The sequence below is a fragment of the Homo sapiens genome, chromosome 18, assembly GCF_000001405.40.
Source record: "Homo sapiens chromosome 18, GRCh38.p14 Primary Assembly".
NCBI lineage: Eukaryota > Metazoa > Chordata > Mammalia > Primates > Hominidae > Homo > Homo sapiens.
The window spans coordinates 26,130,682-26,149,726 of NC_000018.10; the positions used below are offsets into that span (position 1 = coordinate 26,130,682).

A 19,045-nucleotide genomic window follows, 5' to 3' on the forward strand; every position below is an offset into this window, starting at 1 on the left:
GGTTCTAAACAAAAACTTAGACATTTACCATCACCCCTATACCATAATAGGCTTTGAATTCCAAAGGTCTATGAAAGGTCTGCTTTACTCCTCACTTAACCTTCCGGGTTTTCCTACTTTTCTTTATCTTGGCACCACAAACCCTCATTCCTTGTTAGTTCTTTACAGTCAGCATATACATTTAAAAAATATATCTTAGACAAGTATTTCTAGTTGTTTTCAATGGGAGATTTGGTCCAAACTATCAAAACTGCAATCGCTTGCAGCTTCTAGGCATTAAACTGTTTCTTATGGTTTTTGTTAACTATAAAAATAAACAATGCTTGTGGTAAAAAAAAATTAAAATAATACAGATACAAAGTTTAAAATGGTAACTTCTCTGTCCCTACCATGTCGTCCCATTTTCTAATTCCTGGCCTCCTGCAAAGAAATGCACTTTTATAAATTTGGGGTAAGTACTTTCACTCTTTATACATTTGGATACACATATTTTTAAAAATACACATTTTTAAAAGTATAAATGAGTTCATGCTACATTTTTACTTTTCCTAATTTCTCTCTTACAGAGTAATCTTTACTTTTTCATGAACTTAATGATAAATAACAATAGTTAACATTTTTTTAAGTCGTTACTCTGTGTCAGGCACAGCCATGGGTGCATTAATGGACTATTTCATTTGTTCTTCACTACAATCTTGTGAAGATAAGTATTATCACCATTTTGCAGGTCAGAAAACTGAGTTTTAGTGAAGTGAAATATACCTACCCAAAGGTACACAGCTGTTGTTATATTTTAGTGAGGATGTTAAATCTGAATGTGTTAATTAAACTTTGTCAACATTTTAACGCTATCATATTTCTGAAGTGTATACTATCATACAGTGTGACATTTACAAAACGCCTTCTAATGGTATAAACATGCTCTATACCAAAGTCAGTTTCCTGGTTTTTTACTGTATCAGATGTAACAAATTGCAGAAACTAAGTGTAGGGTATGAGGGGCCATTCTGTACTGTCCTGTCAAATTTCTGTGAGTCTATAATTATTTAGAAAATAAAAAGTCACTAAAAACTTACATCAGGTATGATTCCATTTATGTAAAATTTTTGAAATGGCAAAATTATAGAGATGGACAACAGATTAGTAGTTGCCAGGGATGGTAGAGGGAGAGAGAGATGGGTATGTCTTGCAAGTCAACGCCACAGATCTTTGTGGTTGTGAAACAGCTCTGTATCTTGATTATGATAGTCATTATACCAATCTATACATGATAAATTGCATAGGCCTCCCCGCCACATACACACAGGTGTGTATATAAAACTGGCAAAATCTGAAAAAACTCTGTGCATTACACCAATGTCAGTTTCCTGGTTTTGTTACCATATTATACGTACATAAAATATTACCATTGGAGGAAATGGGGTGAAGGATATAGGAGACCTCTTCTTACCGTATTTGAAACTTCCTGTCAATCTATAACTATTTCAAAATAAAAAGGAAACATAATTTAACGAGTACACCAAAACACTTCTCAAGAAACCACTTTGGACAAATGTTGGTTTATCATAATAATGTAAAGTAACCAGTTAGAGTGAATTGTTTTCATTAGGAATTACTGGTTTTTTGCAGTCAAACCAAACTTGTCAAGACTGTAATACTGAAGAAAAGCAATGGAGGGGCAATAAGTACAAACTGCTTCAAGAGTCAACTAAAGGCCAGGTGTGGTGGCTCACACCTGTAATCGCAGTACTTTCGGATGCCAAGGCAGGAGGATTGCTTGAGACCAGGAGTTTGAGACCAGCCTGGGCAACATAGGGAAACCAAGTCCCTACGTTAAAAAAAAAAGTATTAATAATTAAATAAATTGTTTAAGTCAATTAAAATTCTGATTTAAGTATTTGGAATTCAGGGAATCAAATTTTTCCTCTTTTGAGGAAATTATTCTTTTTTTCTTTTTTTTGGTTAAAGTTGATTTCACCAACTTTAAGATCCTCCCCAGTGGAAAACTGCATATATTAAACAACACATGGAAAGCAATAATAGCTAAACTTACCTGGCTATTACTGCCCACCAGGCACCATTTTATGTAATTATGCCCATAAACACATATTAAGCTCAGAATACTCTGCTGCAGATTTTTTAATATTCCCATTTTATTGATAAGGAGAAAGCGACAGAGTTGTTTCATAGTTAGTAATGTAGCAAGTTGTAAAGAGTTTCTGCTATAGCTAAATTTCCAGACATCTTTTAAGTCTCATACTTTGGGCTTTTACAAAATTTCTCCAATTAAAAGAATATTATCTGGGCCGGGCGCGGTGGCTCACGCCTGTAATCCCAGCACTTTGGGAGGCCGAGGCAGGCGGATCACGAGGTCAGGAGATCAAGACCATCCTGGCTAACACGGTGAAACCCAGTCTCTACTAAAAATATAAAAAATTAGCCGGGCGTGGTGGCGGGCGCCTGTAGTCCCAGCTGCTCCGGAGGCTGAGGCAGGAGAATGGCGTGAACCCGGGAGGTGGAGCTTGCAGTGAGCCGAGATTGCACCACTGCACTCCAGCCTGGGCGACAGAGCGAGACTCCGTCTCAAAAAACAAAAAACAAAACAAAACAAAAAAAAGAACATTATCTTAATTCTCATCATTAGCTTAGTTTGATGGACTATTTGCTTTATTTAACGGACCATTTGCTCATCTGCTCTATTTTGCTCACAAGGCAGAAAATATCAGAAGCAACAATATTTTGAAGTTTGCTTTCTTTCCTTCGGTTCAAATAACAAGAGTTAACCTGAGAGAGAGAAAGAAAAAGTAGGAAATTTAGAATTTGAAACCAAAGGGAAGGGACTGATATTTAACTTACCACAGTTTCTCCAACATGTATGCGATAACAAAAATATCTGATATTTGAAGACCTCATTTTTAAGCCCTAATCTTTGATATTATTTTTATAACTCGAGTGCCGTGACACCATCCCTGGGGCAACACGGTAGTGGGGAAATGGAGATATGCGCTATGCGTCAGACATGAAGGGTAAGGGAAGAATGCCGTCAACTCACAGGCACTGCTTGGGTGACAAAGGCTGGCAAGCGCGAGGACATCCGCAGGCAGCCAAAGGAGCAAGGACTTCCGTGAAGCAGCCGAAGCGCGGGCGCGGGGACTTCCGGGAGGCAGCTTGAGGCGCGTGTGGAAGCGCTTCCGGGCGGTAGCACGCTGTGTTGGCGGCGGCTCCCCGCTTGCCTCAGCTGCAGCAGCGGGAAGCTCGGTGGCAAGCCCTTGTAGTCCTGTGCGATGGCGTCTCGATATGACAGGGCGATCACTGTCTTCTCCCCAGACGGACACCTTTTTCAAGTTGAATATGCCCAGGAAGCGGTGAAGAAAGGATCCACCGCGGTGAGGAAGCAACTATTACCGGACTATTCCCCGCTCTGACCTGTCAGGCCATCGTTACCCTGCTGCCCCAGCCCACCTTTCCATCCTAGGAGCTCAAGAGAGGAGATTCCCACACTTGTGAAAATTACTTTGTTCTTTTTATTTAGGGAGACAGACTTCTAGATTTGGGCCGGAAGTGGGCAGAGTAAAAGTTAGTAGATTTCCCCTATCTCTGCTGTTCAACTGCCTCTGTTTCATGGTAGCTACAGACGCAAAACTAGGGTGTGTGTGTGGGTGTGTGTGTGTGTGTGTGTGTGTCTCTGTGTGTGTGTGTGTGTGTGTAGGGACGTTAATGATGTGATTGACAATAGGGAAAGCTTCTAATCTGTAACAGCCTACCTATTGAACGCTCGTGGTCCAGTTCCTTGGTAGTTCAGAGACCCCTGGAAAAGTTAACAGTTGCTTCATGTTGGGAACTGTTTTTTAATAACAGTTACAATAAAAAATAAAAGTTGGCCACACCTGCTCCCCAAATACGGACTAAATCAATATAAAATTAAACTTTTGTTGATGAAGAAATGATTAAAAACACAGTTCAAACACACGCGTTAAAAATATCCCAAAATTGCTGGGCGCAGTGGCTCACACCTGTAATCCCAGCACTTTGGAAGGCCCAGGAGGGCGGATCACCTGAGGTCGGGAGTTTGAGACCAGCCTGACCAACATGGAGAAACTCCGTCTCTACTAAAAATACAAAATTAGCCAGGCGTGGTGGCGCATGCCTGTAATCCCAGCTACTCGGGAGGCTGAGGCGGGAGAATCGCTTGAACCTGGGAGGCAGAGGTTGCGGTGAGCCGAGATCGTGCCATTGCACTCCAGCCTGGGCAACAAAAGCGAAACTCCGTCTCGGGAAAAAAAAAAAAAATCCCAAAATTGTCCCAATATTTCCCAGCCTTGTAGAGGCTCAAAAGTCCAAGAACTTCCACTTTTTTGGCCACTTAAAAAATAATGCTGGAAGTTCCTTGAGAGATTACACCCTACCTTAGATTTATGTATCCACATTACTGAAAAACTTAAAAAATACTCAGGGTAGGAGTAATACTGCTGCCAAGTTTTAACTACGTTCAATAATTTTAGTGATTTATAAAAATTAAAGAGGACAAAAGTGCCCTAGTGACACAAGATCTATTACCCCAAATCTTCTAAGGCCTAGCCTATGAATTCAAAGGATCGGATATTTTTATTCTCTCAATTTCATGAGCATGTTTGTTGTGTACTTTGGAAATTGAGACAGTAGCTATGAGAATACACAGTACGTTTCTAAGTCTAGCAGTGTCTATATTTTCTGACTTTCTTTGTTAAAGAAGGAAATAATTCACTTTCATTATAAATCTAACAGATGTAAGTGGTAAAAAAAAAACACTAGAAGAAGAATCGTTTTAAAAGTATTTTTCTATTTAATTGGGCCCACTAGTTTTGCTTCTGTTTTGCAAGTAATTTTTTTAGAATTATAAATTTAAGGAAAGCCTGATGTAGCTTAAACCAAAAGGGTACCATTTTGATAAAAACAAAAAGTTATATAATCCCCAGCATAGCATGTAGCATATGGTTAGAAACTAATGGCCAAGTTTTAGAGCCTAAAATAAAGGGAGTAATAGGAGAAGACTAGGGTGTAATAAGAAACCACATTGGCTCATTTAACATGTTTTAAGAGTGCTGTAGAACTGATTGATGGTTCCTTTGTAATAAGCGGTAAAAGGGTAAGGATATAAAAATACCTATAGTGGGCATTTTTAAAGATACATTGGAAGAATGAGACACTTTTGTCTCAGAATTCTGAAATTATAATTTGCATGTTTGCATGGAGTTATTCATTGTGTTTCCTTGAGGGTGCTGTGACCTTTTACATAGGGTAAAGTTTTTTAATGGCACTTGATTATTAAAATATGTCACAAAATATTCTGTCTAGAAGTGAAAATTGATATTATGAGTTACAAATAAGCCAAGGTTGACCAGTTTTGACCAGTATGTAGATGTGATACTATTTAGTAATATAAAAATTATATGGGCCACAATTAAAGGCTTTGTGTTCTACTTCCTTGTTGATGATTATCTTATAGCATGAAAGGAGACAAGAGGCTTGTTTTCTTTTTGCTTCAGTTCCCTTTTCTGTAAATGCAAATTTGTTTAAATAACATTTTGGAGAAGTAATACCTTTCTTCTTAGGGAAAAGAAATGAATCCTTCACAATATTCCCATGAAAACGATAAGATTTATTATCATTCCTCATTTTGTCCTTTCTGTGACCCCAAACTGTTATTAGCTCTGTATTTCCTACTTTATCAAATCTCAGCTCCACAATGTAGCCATCAAAGTCTTCCATAATCCTATCCACCCTCTTAATTTAGGAGGCAGCTTCTTGGTTTCACTAATATGTGTTTCTGCCTACAGAAAGGGGAGAGAGGAAAGGGGAAAACACCTTTCTTTCTGCTGCTCTGCATCTTATTTATCCTTTAACAATCTCTGCACACTTGTCCTCTATAATGAAGCCTTCTCTGATCCACTCCAGTCATCTTGGATCTTTGTCTTTTCTGAATTTATAATCTGTACCACAGAATATTGTACAGTATTTACTATTTGACCTGATATTTTCTTTAATTTCAGGTATATTTAATAATCTCACACCAACTGGATAGTAAGATCTCTGAGGATCTAGATGGTATAATTCATTTTTCTATTTCTACTGCACAATATACAGTAGAGGGGCTAGGAAGGCAGTAACTAACATTTAAGAAATACTTTAACCAGGCATTTTGTGTATATTATCTAACATTAGGGACAGTGTTTAATCCCCTTTTATTATGTGTGAAACTGTGATTCAGAAGCATTTATAGCTTGCTGAAAGTACCCAGCTGGAGAGTGATGGAACCCATATTTATAATTATTTTTTTCTAGTTCTAAAGCCCCTGCTCCTTGCATTGTAGCATGAAATTTGTTCAATAAATGTTTGTATATTAATTAGCTTCCATTATCATGAATGTAGAAATCAGATATGTATCACTTAAGGCAATTAACTTCACTAAGCTTCAGTTTCTGTAATAGTAAAAGAGGCATCAAAATAGCACTTGTGGCTGGGCGTGGTGGCTGATGCCTGTAATGCTAGCACTTTGGGAGGCTGAGGTGAGTGGATCACTGGAGGTCAGGAGTTTGAGACCAGCCTGGCCAACATGGTGATGCCCCATCTCTACTAAAAATACAAAAAATTAGCTGAGCATGGTGGTGTGTGCCTGTATTCCCAGCTACTTGGGAGACTGAGGCAGGAGAATTGCTTGAACCGAGGAAGCAGAGGTTGCATGAGCTGAGATTGCACCAGTGTACTCCAGCCTGAGTGACAGAGTGAGAATCTGTCTCAAAAAAAAATTGCACTTGCTTCAGAGAGTTGATGTGAAAGTTGAATGAGGTAATAATGCATGTGAAGCATCTTAAACAGAATCTAGTTCACAGAAAGTACTTAACAAATTGTAGTTATTATTTACTATTCTTTGTTTTCTCTTTTTTTTAAATTTTGTCTGTGGTGCTTCTCACACATTCATTTATTATTTCAAGACATTTTTGTTGAATACTTACATATGCTAAACATGATGCTAGGTCACATACAAGATAGATAGCATCACATACAAAATAGATTCGATCCCTGTCCTTAGAGATCCTACTATCTATCAGGAAAGTTAGATAATTACATAAATAGTCCTAAGAAAACCCGAATGAGTATTAGAGTATGAGGCACTATAGGAACCCCAGGTGTTGGGGAGGTCCCTCTGAAGAAATAATACTTAAGTGGACATCTGAAAGATGAGGGGCTGTCAAGTGAAGAAGTGGAAGGGGAAAGAGTGAAGAGTATTTTTGACAAAGGAAATAGCTTGTGGGAAGGCAAGTAGAAAAGGACAGCTATGTTCTGTCAACTGAAAGGCATTCAGAATTGTTGAAGCAATGGAAAAATAGAAATAGATGAAGCTAGAAACTGGTGCCAGATCATGGAATGCCATTAAACCATGTAAGTGAGGATATACTGAATGAGAGACCTTGAAGTGTTTTGATGTGGCTACTGTCAGTCTCCAGATTATTGCTCTTCTGTCATTCTATTAACAGACTACATTTGTCCAACAACAGAGATACTCACATGACCTAAGTAGAATCATTCATAATTTCTATCTTCCTGGCCACAGTGATGAGCATGTCACTCAAATCTAGCCAATGATAAGTTCACCCTTAGCAACTCTTCTGACTAGAGACAGAGGTAGCTTTTATTCTCTGGGAGAACTGTTGGGATGTGGGTCCAAGGTTCCTGGTGGCCATGTTTTTACTGTACAGAGAAAGCCTTTCCACATTAGGAAAGTGAAAAGCCAATATGCAAAGAGTACATATTAAAGTCCCTAGATCCTTTTGTCTCATGTCTAGCTCTGTGCTGTGTTGATTTGCTTAGTGACAGATGGTCCCTTTATAAGCTTTAAGTAAAGGAATGCCACATTCAGACTTTATTTTCTTCTTCTTCTTTTTTGGTCTTCATTTTATTTTCCAAATATTTCTCAGGCTACCTATGGTCAGTGAATTGGATGAAATCAAGACTAGAAACAGGGAGACCAGTTAGTATTCTGTGGAAATAGTCTAGATGAAAGATGATAACTAGCTTTTACTAGACTTGGGGGGAAAGTAAAAATAAGGTGGATTCCAGAAAAACATTAAGCAGTATACTTGTTACAATTTGATGGTTATATGGATGGTGTTGACAGAGGTATAGAAGAAGGAGGAATAAAAGTTGGTGTCCCTGTTTCTGGATGTGCCTGCTAAGTAAATGGTACTGCCATTTACTTAGAGAATGTAAGCACTAAGTTTTGGGGGAAGATAACTGTTTTGGACTTGCTGAGGTTGAGATGCTTATGGAAACTGTAGCAGACAGACTTTAAAATGGCCTCCAGTGATCCCCACCTTGTGGTGGTCATGCCCTTGTATAACCTTCCTCCCTTGGATGTGGGCTGAACTTAGTGACTTGCTTTTAAGGAATGGAATAGGTGAAAATGACGAATGTCACATCAGGGATTAGGTTGCAAAGAAATGGTGACTTCATTTTATTCATCCTTACTCGCTGTTTTGCTTGCTTACTCTGGTGAAACCCAGCTGCCGTGTTGAGTTGCCCTCTGCAGGGCCCAATGAGGCAAGGAACTGAGGGAAACATTTGTTCAAAATCTAGTAGGGAACTGAGATCCTTAGTCCAACAACCCAGGGGAACTGAATCTTGCCAACAACAATGCGAGTGAGCTTGGAAATGGATCCTTCCCCAGTTGAGCCTAGAGATGCATGCAGCACTGGTAGACAACTTGATTGCAGCCTTATGAGAGACCCTGAGCCAGAGGAATTAGCTAAACTGTGTCCCGATTCCTGAACAGAGACTGTGAGGCAGCTGAAAAGTACATGTTTGAAATTTAAGAGATTGATTTTGGCTGGAAATAATAATTTTGAAGTGCATTGTTTCTCTCCCCTGTTAAAAACCTATATTGAAGGTCAAGTAAATGCATACTCTTGAGTACCCTTCTGTGTTCAATAAGACTAAATATAGACTATAGACTAAGCCGAGGATAGTCTACAACTGAACCTTGAGGAACCTTAATGACCTTTGTAATTACCTTGACTAAACTCTGAGAGAAGAGGGATAGAAACCAGGTTGTTGTGGGCTGAGGGATGATGACAATATTTGACTTGAAGGGCTTGAAAGAAAAAAGGTGGGATTAAAGTGGAATGGTCTTAAAATTAAGATAAAAGAGACTAACATAGGTTTCTGTCTGTTCGTTGAACTTCTCAATTTGTTCGCATAGTGTTTTCCTGATCTCGCTTGTTTATCTCTGTACTCTTGTAGCTTACTGAGCTTTTAAAAGATTGTTACTTTTTAATTCTTTGTCAAGAAATTCATAGATCTCCATACTTTATTTTCTTCCTTTGGTAGTATCATGTTTCTCTGATTGTTCACGATTCTTGTGGCCTGGCATGGATGTCTGCACATTTGAAAAAGTAAGTACCTCTTCAGATTAGCTTCAGCAGGAAAAGTTCTTCACCAGTTAGCCCATCCAGAGATTTGGGGTGGGCCTGCCACTAGAGTCCTTTGGCAGGCTGGCGTGATGCCTAGGTCAGCAGGCAGGCTGGCTTGGCACCACAGGTGCCAGCCTTGTACCAGGGCTCACTGGGGTGGGCCTGGAACCTGAGTCCACAGGAGCAGACCTGGAGCTTGGATCCATGGGGTCCATGGAAAAGTCAGATACCCACGTTACTCTCCTTACCACACATGGATGGTATCTCTCTCTGCACTGTGTTGCTGGGCCTTGAAGGACAGGTGATGTGGATAATGTCAAATTGTCTTTCTCACTCTCTTCAAAGTGTCTTTTCGTATTTCTGTGCTTTGGTCTCTCACCTGGATTCTTTTCTTAGGAAGTATTTTCACACATAGTAGTACAAATTGGTATTTCTGCTGGGACATGGGCATGGGAAACTCCTATTCTGCCATCTTGCTGATGTCATATTGTTTTGAGATTTTGGCATCAGCTTTCATAAATGAGGAATTATTGGTACTTTTATTTATTTAGAAAATGTTATATTTGCCAGACTTTAACATCATTACATAATTTTACTAAAGAGTTAGGAACATACCCGCTTTCATCTGCATCATAGAATAATTTAAATAGCACAGGAATTACTCATAACAAAATTAGCAAGAATTCATCCATGAACCCTCTAGGTCTGACACTTGTTTTTGAGGATTAGTTCTTTTCTGAAATTATTGCATGTTTGTTAGTGAAACAGAGTTTTTTGTCTTTTCTTGAATCAACATGGCCAGTTTTAAATTTTTCTACTCCGTAATATCTTTCAATCAGATTTTCAAATTTATTAACTTAAGGTTATACTTTTAAAATTGTTACTTTTCCACACTTGTATGTATTTCTTTCACTCTATCCCTTTCCTAATGAGATTAACTGAGATATACATTTTAATTATTTGTTTAAAATAACCAAATCTTGGTATTATTTATCAGTTTTGTTGTTTTCTCCCTAACCATTAATTTTTGCTTTTTTCTTATTTTTCCCCTTAAGCTTAGCTGCAATATTTTTATCCCTTTTTGTACCTACTGATTTCTTAATTCATTTTTAATATTTTTTCTTACTTGATTAAAAAAATAAAATGATAAATTCTCTCCTGAACATAATTTTGACCACACTCAAAATACTTTGATATTAACATATTCATTATCAACATTTTCTAGTCTATATTGGTACTTTTAATTTCTTTACTAAGTCAAAAATTATTTATGAGAGTTATAAATTGTTGTCTTGTGACCAATAAATTTAACTTGATTTATTTCAATTGTGAGAATATTTTGAGATTTTTCTTTTAGTCCTAATATATGTTAAATTGTTACAATATCCCATGGCTTGTTGAGAAGGCATATTCCCTATAAAGTTTAACATTTGTTCATTTGATGAGGATAGGATAGGGAGGGAGGATGGCTGATCTGAAATATAATGTTTAAGAAAGGGTACTTGGATAAACTGATAAGAAATGAAAGAACAATAAGAACAAAAGCGTAGTTCTTTTTTTTCTTTTTTCTGTTTCTTTCTTTTTTCTTTTTTTTTTTTTTTTTTTTGAGAAAGAGGCAGTGGCATGATCATGGTTCACTGCCTTGAACTCCCAGGCTCAAGCGATTCTCCCACCTCAGCCTCCTGAGTAGCTGGAACTACAGGTGCACACACCATGCTCGGCTAATTTTTTTATATTTTGTAGAGATATAATCCCACTATGTTGCCCAGGCTAGTCTGAAACTCTTGGAATCAAGTAATCCTCCCACCTCAGCCTTCCAAAATGCTGGGATTACAGGCATGAGCCACCATGCTCAGCCAGGCCTAGTTCTACATTTCATCTATTGTGTATTTTCACTTCAATAATGCTAATTTTTTTTTTTTTTTTTTTTGAGATGGAGTCTCTCTCTGTCGCCTGGGCTGGAGTGCAGTGGCACGATCTTGGCTCACTGCAAACTCCTCCTCCCAGGTTCACGCCATTCTCCTACCTCAGCCTCCCCAGCAGCTGGGACTACAGGCGCCCGCCACCACGCCCGGCTGATTTTTTGTATTTTTAGTAGAGATGGGGTTTCACCGTGTTAGCCAGGATGGTCTCTATCTCCTGACCTCGTGATCCACCCACCTCGGCCTCCCCAATAATGCTACTTTATAACACATATTTTTATACAGTGATATTGTATAAATCAGTATTAATATCACACTTGACTACAAAGCAATTATAAACACCAATACCTATGTCAAAATTTTTAGATTACCCCTGTAATACAGAACCAAAATTCTAAACTTTCCTCTAAAAAAGAGGAGAGAAAAAGGAGCAATAGTCACCCTACTTGTATTCTTCTTGTTTGAATAGAGGCTTTCTTTATCAGTAATGTAGGATAAGGACATTTGGTCTTTCTCTTGGCTGCTTGTGGCCCCTGTCTTAACTTAGATTATTTGAGCTGCTAAAACAAAAGACAATAGACAGGGCACTTTATAAACAACAGAAATTTATTTCTCACAATTCTAAAGACTGGGAAATCCAAGATCAAGGCCTATTCAGTGTCTGGAGAGTACCCATTTCCTAGTTCATAGTTAGAACTTTCTTGCTGTGTCCTCACATGGTGGAAAGCGCAAACAAGCTCTCTTAGGCCTCTTTAATAAGGGCACGAATCCCAGTCAACCATCATGACCTAATCACCTCTCAAAGGCCCTACCTCCTGATAGTATCACCTTAGGGGTTAGGATTTCAACATACGAATTTGGGGGGAATATAAATATTCAAACCACAGCAACTCAATCCCTATCCCTCCAAATTGTGAAATACATGGGAAAACTTTTACAGAATTTTATCTATTTAACTTTCTTTACTGCCATTAATACTACCAGCACTAGTACTGCCGCCTTTATAAAGAATCCACATGGATTCCCGGCATCTTCTTTCATTTTGCTTAATTTTGCACTATATAGCAGATTCTCAAATAACATTGTTTTGTTCAACATTCTTTTGTTATAACATTGATGAGAAAAAAAATCGATTCCCACCGAAGGCCACTCTATATGGAGTTTGTTAGTTTTCCCCGTGTCTGCATGGGTTTTCTCCATGTACTCCAATTTCCTCCAACATCCCAAAGATGTGTGCGTTAGGTTAATTGATGTGTCTAAATTGTCCCAATCTGAGTGAGTGTGTGTGTGTATGAGCAAAGCCTATGATGGAATGGCATCCTGTCCATGGTTGGTTCCTGCCTTGTACCCTGAACTGCTGCAATAGGCTGCAGCCACCTGTGATCCTGAACTTGGATAGGCAGATTGGAAAATGAATGAATGAATACAAATTATTATAAAATAAAAATTTATAAAGTATATAATAATCATACAGATGCACAACAGTAAACAACGAGGTATGAAAGCACTTAGTGAGCTTGTCGTAGACCTTATTGTTTGTTTTTGAACTGAATGGTGGTAGGAGATGCTCTTTAAAATTTTTGCTTTGCAAACGTTTATTCTTTGATTTAACCCACCACCACTATGACTGCTGTCACTCATGGATTCACCAAAAATTGGATAAATAATTATCATACTTTCTTTTTTTTTTGAGCTTGAGTCTCGCTCTGTTGCCCAGGCTGGAGTGCAGTGGCGCAATCTCTGCTTACTGCAAGCTCTGCTTCCTGGGTTCCAGCGATTCTCCTGGCTCAGCCTCCTGAGTTGCTGGGACTACAGGTGCCTGCCACTATGCCCGGCTAATTTTTGTGTTTTTAGTAGAGACGGGGTTTCACCATGTTGGCCAGGCTGGTCTCGAACTCCAGACCTCAAGTCGTCCTCCTGCCTCAGCCTCCCAAAGTGCTAGGATTATAGTGCTGTGAGCCACCGTGCCCAGCCTTATCATACTTGTTTTTGTTAGTGTTTGTTATATATACAGCTCACATTTATTTCAGTGTTTAATATTAGAGGTGTTTTAGGTATTTGTTTAGAAGTTTGGGGATGTTTTTGTGACCAGAAATATTTCATATGAACCTAACTCCTGTTTATATTAATTGGGGTGTGATAAAATTGGTTTCATTATACATCATTTGCTTATAGTTGCAATTTTCAAGAACCTGTCAATGACATTGAGAACTTACCGTATTTAGATAGTGCTTTTTTCAGGTGTATTGTATGAGATTAGGACACTCATAATTTCAGCATTGGTGGTATTTTCTTTGCAATTTCTACCTATTTGTCTTCCTTGCTTTGAGTCTGGGGAATGGATCTCCAGTAAGCCTATACCTATGAAGCTGTTTTCTAGAAAGTTACTTTTCTTGTTTTTATTGAATACTTAAGGAGAAGTCATTTCCCCTAAGTCATATGTTAGAATAACTTGGTTTTATATTTTAAACTGACATCTGAATATATATGTATTTTAATGACTTGACAGGTCGGAATTCGAGGTACCAATATAGTTGTTCTTGGGGTAGAAAAAAAATCTGTTGCCAAGCTTCAAGATGAAAGAACTGTGAGGAAAATTTGTGCCCTTGATGACCATGTCTGCATGGCTTTTGCAGGTACTTAAGGTCCTACAATAATGATGCATAGTGTCTTACTGTAGTAGGGCAACACAGTTAACCTCAGTGCTGCAGTTGTGCTATATTTATAAAACATGTGGAGTTGTTCTACAAACAATATATCCTACGTTTTAAAGCAAATACTAACTTTGTAAACCAGGATTTTTGATAAAGTACAAATGTTAAAAGATATATATTACTTTACTTCAAAATTTAGGTAGCTATTTTCTTTTCAAAACTTTTTATTTTTAAATAATTACAGATTTAGAAGAAGCTACCAAAAACATAGAAAGTCCCCTTTACACAGTTTCCCTAAATGGTAACATCTTCAAAACCAGTAAATTGACATTTGCTGAGAGTGTATTCAGATTTTGCCAGTTTTACATGCATTCACTTGCATGTTCATGTACATGTATGTAGTTTTTTGTTTTTGTTTTTATTTTTATTTTTGAGACAGAGTTTCACTCTTGTTGCCCAGGCTGGAGTGCAATGGCGCGATCTCTGCTCACTGCAACCTCCACCTCCCGGGTTCAAGCAATTCTCCTGCCTCAGCCTCCCGAGTAGCTGGGATTACAGGCATGCATCACCACACCCGGCTAATTTTGTATTTTTAGTGGAGACGGGGTTTCTCCATGTTGGTCAGGCTGGTCTTGAACTCCTGACCTCGGGTGATCCACCCGCCACAGTCTCCCAAAGTGCTGGGATTACAGGTGTGAGCCACCGCGCCCGGCCTCTGTGTGCAGTTTTATTACACTAACCACATATGTAGATTCATGTAGTCATCACCACACTCAAGATACATAACTCTTCCATCACCACAAGACTACCTCATGCTATTTCTTCTCACCATCTCTACTTTCTGGAAACTGCTATCTATTCTGTATCTCTATAATTTTGTCATTTTGAGAATGTTATATGGATAAAGTTATATAATATATAACCCTTTCAGATTAATCTTTTTTATTCAGCATAATTCCCTTGCAGTTCATGCAAGTTGTTGCATATATCCATTCCTTTTTATTACTGAGTAGTATTCCATGGAATAAAGGCACCAGTGGGTTTGTTAACTCTCCTATTGAGGGACATTTGGGTTATTTCCAATTTTTGACTATTGTAAATAATGCCTCTATGAATATTTGTTTACAGATTTTTGAGTGAAAGTAGGATTTCATTTCTCTGGGACAAATTCCTAAGAGTATAGTTGCTGGATTATATGATAATCCATGCTTAGTTTTATGAAACACTGCCAGTCCAGAGTGGTTATACTATTTTAAATTCCAACTAGCAATATATGAGTGATTCATTTGCTCTGTGTTATCAGCATTTGCTATTGTTGCTTTTCTTCATTTTTTTATATTCTTATACATGTGTACTGATATCTAATTGTAAGTTTAATTTTTATTTCCCTCACGGCTAATAATTTTGAACTTATTTTTATGTGCTTATTTGCCCCTATACAGCAAATAAGACATGCCTCTTGTCTTTTTTTTTTTCCTCATCTTCTGATTGGGTTTTTTTTTTTTAACTGTAATTTTATATTGAAGTTTAACAATCTCATTCAAGCCACACATGATGGTGCACATCTGTAATTGCACCTACTCAGGAGGTCGAGGCAGGAGAATTACTTGAGCTTAGAAGTTTGAGTTCAGCTTGGGCAACTGAGCAAGATACTATCTCTTAAAAAATAAAAAAATTAAAACCTCATTCAGAAAAACAAAAATGCCTTTATTGTGCTGTCTTTAAGAAGGAATTATCTTTTCACAAAACAAGTCTTAATAAATATAAAAACATTGAAGCATCCAGGCATAGTGGCTCATACCTGTAATCCCAAGATCTTGGAAAGCTGAGGCAGGCAGATCATTTGAGCCCAAAAGTTCGAGCCTGTCTGAGCAACATGGTGAAACTTCATCTCAAAAAAAATACAAAAATTAGCTGGGGATGGTGGCGTGTGCCTATAGTCCCAGCTACTTGGGAGGCTGGGCTGGGAAGATCCATTGAACCCAGCAGGTTGAGGCTGCAGTGAGCTGTGATCACACCACTGCATTCCAGTCCAGGCAACAGAGTGAGACCCTATGTATCAGTCCATTCTTGCATTGCTATAAAGAAACACCTGAAAAACAACAACAACAAAACAGAAATACCTGAGACTGGGTAACTTATAAAGAAAAGATATTTAATTGGTTCACAGTTCCGTAGGCTGTACAGGAAGCATAGCAGCTTCTGCTTTTGGGCGGCCTCAGTAAGCTTTCAATCATGGTAGAAGGCAAAGGGGGAGTGAGACATCTCACATGGCCAGAGCAGGAAGAAGAGAGAGAGAAGGGAGAGGTGCCAAATACACTTAAACAATCAGATCTCGTTAGAACTCTATCACAAGAACAGCATTGGGGGATAGTGCTAAGCTAGTCATGAGAAACCATCCCCATGAGCCAATCACCTTATATCAGGCCCCACCTCCAACTTTGGGGATTACAGTTATACATGAGATTTGGGTGGGTACAGAGATCCAAACCATATCACCCTGTCTCAAAAAAAAAAAAAAAAAAAAAAGATTGAAACCATACAGAGTATTTTTTTCTGATCAAAATGGAATGGAACTAGAAATTAGTAGTGGAAGGAAGACGTGAAAATCCACAAACACGTGGAGTTAAGCAATATATTCCTAAATCACCCATGGGGCAATGAAAAAAATCACAAGGGAAATGAACAGATATCTTGAGAGAAAGGCAAATAAAAGCACAACATATCAAAACTTGGGGAATGTATTGAAAGTAGTGCTAATAGGAAAATTTATAGCCATAAACATTTACATTAAAAAAGAAAGATCTCAATTCAACAGCCTGCCTTTATACCTTAAAACTAGGAAAATAAGAATAAACTAAGTTTAAAGCTAGTAGAAAGAAGTAATAAATCCCTGATGACTCTTTCCCCTAGATTGTATATCATATTGTTTGTTAGCATGTAGTGTTTTTAGCTTTCTACTGTTATAAAATATTGTAGTGCTAAATTTGAGAAAAAGAAGTATAAAGATCAGAACATAGATAAATAACAGAATAGAAAAACAAAAGAGAAAAATAACAAAACCAAGAGTTGGTTCTTTGAAAAGATCAACAAAACTGACAACTCTTTAGCTAGATTGACTAAGAAAAAAAGAGAGAAGACTCAAGTAAAATGAGAAATGAAGAAGGGGACATTAGTGCCAGTTTTACAGTTTTAATTCTTAAAAACAATTTTAAGAGAGTACTGTGAACAATTGTACATAGACAGAATTCCTTGAAACACACCTTGCTCAATAAGATATATTAATAGAAAATCTGAACAGACACAATAAGACATTGAATGAGTTATTAAAAACCTCCCAACAAAGGAAAGTCTAGGATCTAACGACTTCACCAGTGAATCCTACCAAACATTTTAATGAAGAATTAATAGCAGTCCTTCTGAAACTCTTCCAAAAAGTTAAGGAGTAAACACTTCCAAGTTTAATCTATAAGACCAATATTAACATAATGCCAAAGCCAAAGACATTACAAGAAAAGAAAACTATAGACAAATATCCCTTATGAGCAGTGAGCAAAAATCCTCAACAAACTAGTAGCAAACCAAATTCAGAACTTTAAAATAATAATACATCATGACCAATTTGGATCTATCCCTGGAGTGCAAGCATGGTTCAACATATGAAGATCAATCAATGTAATATACCACATTAACAGAAGGAAAGAAAAAAACTATATAATTATATAAATTATATAGAAAATGCATTTGACAAAATTTAACACTCTTTCTTGGTAATGGCACCCAACAAACTAGAAATAAAAGGAAATCACCACAACATAATTCAGGCTATCTATGTAAAAAATTCACAGCTGACATCATACTCAGTGGTGAAAGATTGAAAGCTTTCCCTCTAGAACCAGGAACAAGATAAAGATGCCCACTTTTGCCGCTGCTATTCAACATAGTAATGAAAGTCTTAGCCAGAGCAGTTAGGAAAGAAAAATAAATAAAGGTATCCAAATTGGGAGGGAAGAAAAATCATCTCTGTTCACAGAAGACATGATCTTATATAGAATACTAAAGATTCCACCAAAAATGTTACAAATAATAAACAAATTGAGCAAAGTTGTAGGACACAAAATCAACACCCCGGAGTAATTTCTTTCTTTTTCTTTTTAATTTGAAACAGGGTCTCACTCTATCACTCAGCCTGAAGCACAGTGGCATCACCATAGCTCACTGCAGCCTTGAACTCCAGGGCTCAAGCAACCCTCCCACCTCAGCCTCCTGAATGCAGGTGTGTGCCACTGCACCTGGCAATTTTTTTTAATTTTTATTTTTGTAGAGACAGGATCTCACTATGTTGCCCAGGCTGGTCTCAAACTCTTGGCCTCAAGTGATCCTCCCATCTCAGCCTCCCAAAGTGTTACAATAAAGGTGTGAGTCACCACACCAAGCCCCAAATCATTTCTATGTACTGACAATGAACCGTCAGGAAAGGAAATTAAGAAAAACAATTCCATGTCAATAGCATCAAAAAGAATAAAATACTTATTGGGAATGAATTTAAGGAGGCAAAAGATTTGTACTCTGAAAAATGCAAAACATTGCTGAAAGAAATTGAAAAAGACACAAATGGAAAGACATCCCGCATTCATGGATTGGAAGACTCAGGATTATTAACATGTCAATATTATCCAAAGCAATTTAGATTCAATGTCATCCCTAACAAAATTTCAATGATTTTTTTAAATAAAAAAGAATTATGACATTCATATGGAATGACAAAACAATTTTGAAAGAGAAGAGCCAACTTAGAGGTCTCACATGTCTTGTTTTTGAAAGCTACTACAAAGATACAGTAAGCAAAATAGTTTCATGACTGGCTTAATGAAAGACATGTAACTAATGGAATTGAATAGAGAACATAGTAATAAATCCTTGCATGTATGATATGGTCAAATGACTTTTATCAAGGATGCCAAGACTACTCAGTAGGGGAAAAGACAATCTTCTAAACAAATGGTGCAGGGGAAACTGAATA

At 37.7% G+C, this 19,045-nt stretch overlaps 1 protein-coding gene across 5 annotated transcripts in view; it reads left to right on the forward strand.

The window, feature by feature from the left end:
* The first annotated feature begins 3,187 nt into the window (after positions 1 to 3,187).
* The window catches only part of PSMA8 (proteasome 20S subunit alpha 8), a 59,487-nt gene continuing 43,629 nt past the window's right edge, over positions 3,188 to 19,045 (forward strand). For 2 of the 5 annotated variants that reach the window (XM_011525818.2, NM_001308188.2), the window contains exons 1-3: positions 3,188 to 3,386; positions 9,364 to 9,428; positions 13,878 to 14,004. In XM_011525818.2, the coding sequence (XP_011524120.1) occupies positions 9,405 to 9,428; positions 13,878 to 14,004 (151 nt within the window). In that variant the 5' untranslated portion in view covers positions 3,188 to 3,386; positions 9,364 to 9,404. The remainder of the gene's footprint in view (positions 3,387 to 9,363; positions 9,429 to 13,877; positions 14,005 to 19,045) is intronic. The other 3 variants (NM_144662.3, NM_001025096.2, NM_001025097.2) reach the window with 2 other exon arrangements.